Below are 3,325 nucleotides of genomic sequence, written 5' to 3'. Positions count from 1 at the left end.
TGACTTCTCTCCGTCTTTGTGGTTTTATCTACTTTTGGTCTTTGATGTTGGTGACCTACAGATAGGGTTTTGGTGTGGATGTCGTTTTTGTTTATGTTGATGCTATTCCTTTCTGTTTGTTACTTTTCCTTCTAACAGTCAGGAACCTCAGCTGCAGGTCTTTTGGAGTTTGCTGGAGGTCCACTCCAGACCTGTTTGCCTGGGTATCACCAGTGGAGGCTGCAGAACAGCAAATATTGCAGAACAGCAAATATTGCTGCCTGATCCTTCCTCTAGAAGCTTCATCTCAGAAGGGCACCTGGCTGTGTAAGGCATCAGCTGGCCCCTACTGGAGGTGTCTCCCAGTTAGGCTACTCGGGGTCGGGGACCCACTTGAAGAGGCAGCCTGTCCATTCTCAGAGCTCAAACTCCATGCTGGGAGAACCACTGCTCTCTTCAGAGCTGTCAGATAGGGACGTTTAAGTCTGCAGAAGTTTCTGCTTTCTGCTGCCTTTTGTTCAGCTGTGCCCTGCTCCCAGAGGTGGAGTCTACAGAGGCAGGCAGGCCCCATTGAGCTGCAGTGGGCTCCACCCAGTTCGAGCTTCCTGGCAGCTTTATTTACCTAGTCAAGCCTCAGCAATGGTAGACGCCCCTCCCCCAGCCTTGGTGCAGAGTTCGACCTTGGACTGCTGTGCTAGAAGTGAGCAAGGATTCGTGGGACCGGGACCCCCCAAGCCAAGTGCAGATATAATCTCCTGGTTTGCCATTTGTTAAGACGTTTGGAAAAGCACAGTATTAAGGCGGGATTGTTTCAATATTCCGGGTACCCTGTATGGCTTCCCTTGGCTAGGAAAGGGAAATCCCGCGACCACTTGAGCTTCCTGGGTGAGGCGATGCCCCGCCCTGCTTCAGCTTGCCCTCCGTGGGCTGCACCCACTGTCCAACAAGTCTCAGTGAGATGAACCAGGTACCTCAGTTGGAAATGCAGAAATCACCCCTCTTCTGTGTCGATCACTCTGGGAGCTGTAGAACGGAGCTGTTCCTATGTGGCCATCTTGGAATGATCCCTCTAATTTGAGCATCTTTATCCACGTATTCTAAGATGAACAGCTTCCAATATTGAGAGTCTTTAAGTCTTGATGTACCAAAGAATAATTGATTTTACCCAGATGATTTTTTTTAATTAAACATTCTGATTTTTACTGTGACATGTGAAAATGAAGGGAGAAAAACTATCATTTGGTCTCTCATTGCTTTACCAACTCAAGAGCTTCCTATTATATTAAGTAATGCTCACCCTGGTCTCCATTTTTCCTAGTATGGCTAAAAGAGGAATTTTTAAAAATTGTGTTAAGGTTAAAGTGGCTTTCATTTAAAAATTCTAAGTCGACTCTTCTTTGGAAGATCTAGATTTCCTCTTTTTTATTTAAATTCTTTTTTTTTTTTTTTTTGCTGTTGTTAAACAGAACTCTAGGTCTTTCAAAGATGAATAGATTTTTATGTAGAGAATAAGATAATTATAAAATTATCTAATGAGCTAGAGGGGTAATATTCAAGAAAGGCCATGACTGCAACTGTGGTTCAGAATTTCAGGAAGTTGTTGCTGCTACTGTCAGAAGAAAAAAATCACACTGAAAGTTGAATAGAACTGGACAATTTTTCGAGACTATTATTCAAGACTTTGCACATAAGGGAGAGGCATTGAACTCAACTTCCCTGAAACAAAAGGCAGGTGGATAGTTAAATGCTGGGATTAGCTCATGGCAAAGTACTGTAGGACATTTAAGTTGGTCAATGTGATTAGGCCATCCCTGTTCGCTAATTGTTCCTCTTCAAAGTTAGGTTTCTACCCTCCCACAGAGACTGAGAGACAGGGCACTATCTGTCTTGATGATTATATTTCAAAGGGATGGCTCCCAGGTCCTTGAGAAAGACATTCCTGGATTGTAGAAAATTTACATTTCAAAGAGTCAGAGAAAGAATCTTCAAATACACATTTTCTGAGATAAGTGCTCTAAGAAAAGTGAGGTTAGAAGCCTAGAATCAGGAAGAAATCTATCTAAGTAGAGGAGGAATCTTAAAGCCGGCTTGGTCCTTGCCCAGGTTAGCAAGCTTCAGGAAACTATTGCTTATCTGATAGTCAAAGTTGAACTGCAATATTGAAGTAGATAATTCACTGGGAAATGGCTGGAGAAGCTGCAAAAGATGTTCTTTGAGGAAGCCAAAGAGACCCCTCACCATTGCACAAAAGAGTAACTTTCCCTGTAAGTACCCTTAGCTGTATCTCATAGGTTTTTGATTTATAGTATCCTCATTATTGTTAAGTCCTAAACATTTTCCCATTACATTATGAGTTTTTCTTTGTGGCATTACTTATTTTCAAACAAATAATTTTCTAGTTAACATTCTGCAATTAATTTTTAGCAAACTTTTATTCCTGTCATAAATACGTTCATTTTTTGTGTAAATCCTTTGACATTTGTTTGGTCAAAATTTATGTCCAAATACTTGGTAAATTTTGGTAAATTCCTTATGCATACATGAAAACAGTGTTTATTCTGCTATTTTGGGAGTACAGTGTTCTGCACATAAACATTTTAAACAAATGTTATTCCTTTATTCCTATTATGCAAATTATCTTTACTCTCACTGAAATTTTGTGTCCTTTTTCTATCAGTTACTGGGAGAGAGTTATGTCAATATCTTTTACTCCGATTATAGATGTTTGTATTTTTCTCCAGCAATTCTATCAGGATATAGAATATATCCTGTGTATCGTGGGGGCCAAGGCTGTTGGCTCCCTAAAGGTTCAATGAAAAATCACTGACATTAGGCAGATTGATTAATAGAAGAAAAACCATGTAAATCTATTTAACATGTATACACAAAGCTTTCAGAATGATGATCCAACTCCTCAGTAAAGTACAGAAGCTTATATACCATCTTGAGGTTACAGAAATAATGCAGGCTCAGAGCATAGCCAAAACCGTGTTATGTTGATAAATCAGGTTCTAGTGGCAAGACAGGTTAAGAGAGGGAGAAGAGAAGAGGCTTGATTAGCAAAGGGGTGGTGTTATGTAGATGAAGCCTCATAGATAGCAACTCTCAGAGAGAATAGATGGTAAATGTTTCGTTTTGGACTTTTAAAGATATCATACTCCAGTAAAGTTTTCTAGATCCTGGAAAGGCCTAGATAGGGAATTCCTGGCTACATTAATGGAGATTCTCTACAGAAGAATCTGGCCCTGTGTTAGCCATTTTAAAATAATGTCGAAGAAATATATTTTGGGGTAAAATATTTTTATTTAATTCAATATGTTTTGAAATTATGTTATACATTCTAAAT

At 39.8% G+C, this 3,325-nt stretch overlaps 2 annotated features.

The window, feature by feature from the left end:
- Positions 207-768: an enhancer, noted in NCBI's record as "H3K4me1 hESC enhancer chr13:66159580-66160141 (GRCh37/hg19 assembly coordinates)". NCBI's record gives its function as "activates a minimal SCP1, AML or CMV promoter by ChIP-STARR-seq in naive H9 embryonic stem cells {active_cell/tissue: H9 hESC(naive)}" and the evidence as "EXISTENCE:reporter gene assay evidence [ECO:0000049][PMID:30033119]".
- Positions 1,539-2,345: an enhancer, noted in NCBI's record as "OCT4-NANOG hESC enhancer chr13:66158003-66158809 (GRCh37/hg19 assembly coordinates)". NCBI's record gives its function as "activates a minimal SCP1, AML or CMV promoter by ChIP-STARR-seq in primed H9 embryonic stem cells {active_cell/tissue: H9 hESC(primed)}" and the evidence as "EXISTENCE:reporter gene assay evidence [ECO:0000049][PMID:30033119]".

The sequence above is a fragment of the Homo sapiens genome, chromosome 13 (assembly GCF_000001405.40).
Source record: "Homo sapiens chromosome 13, GRCh38.p14 Primary Assembly".
Taxonomy (NCBI): domain Eukaryota; kingdom Metazoa; phylum Chordata; class Mammalia; order Primates; family Hominidae; genus Homo; species Homo sapiens.
Note: the sequence above shows the minus strand (reverse complement) of the source record. Positions and strands in the feature narration are given on the sequence as shown.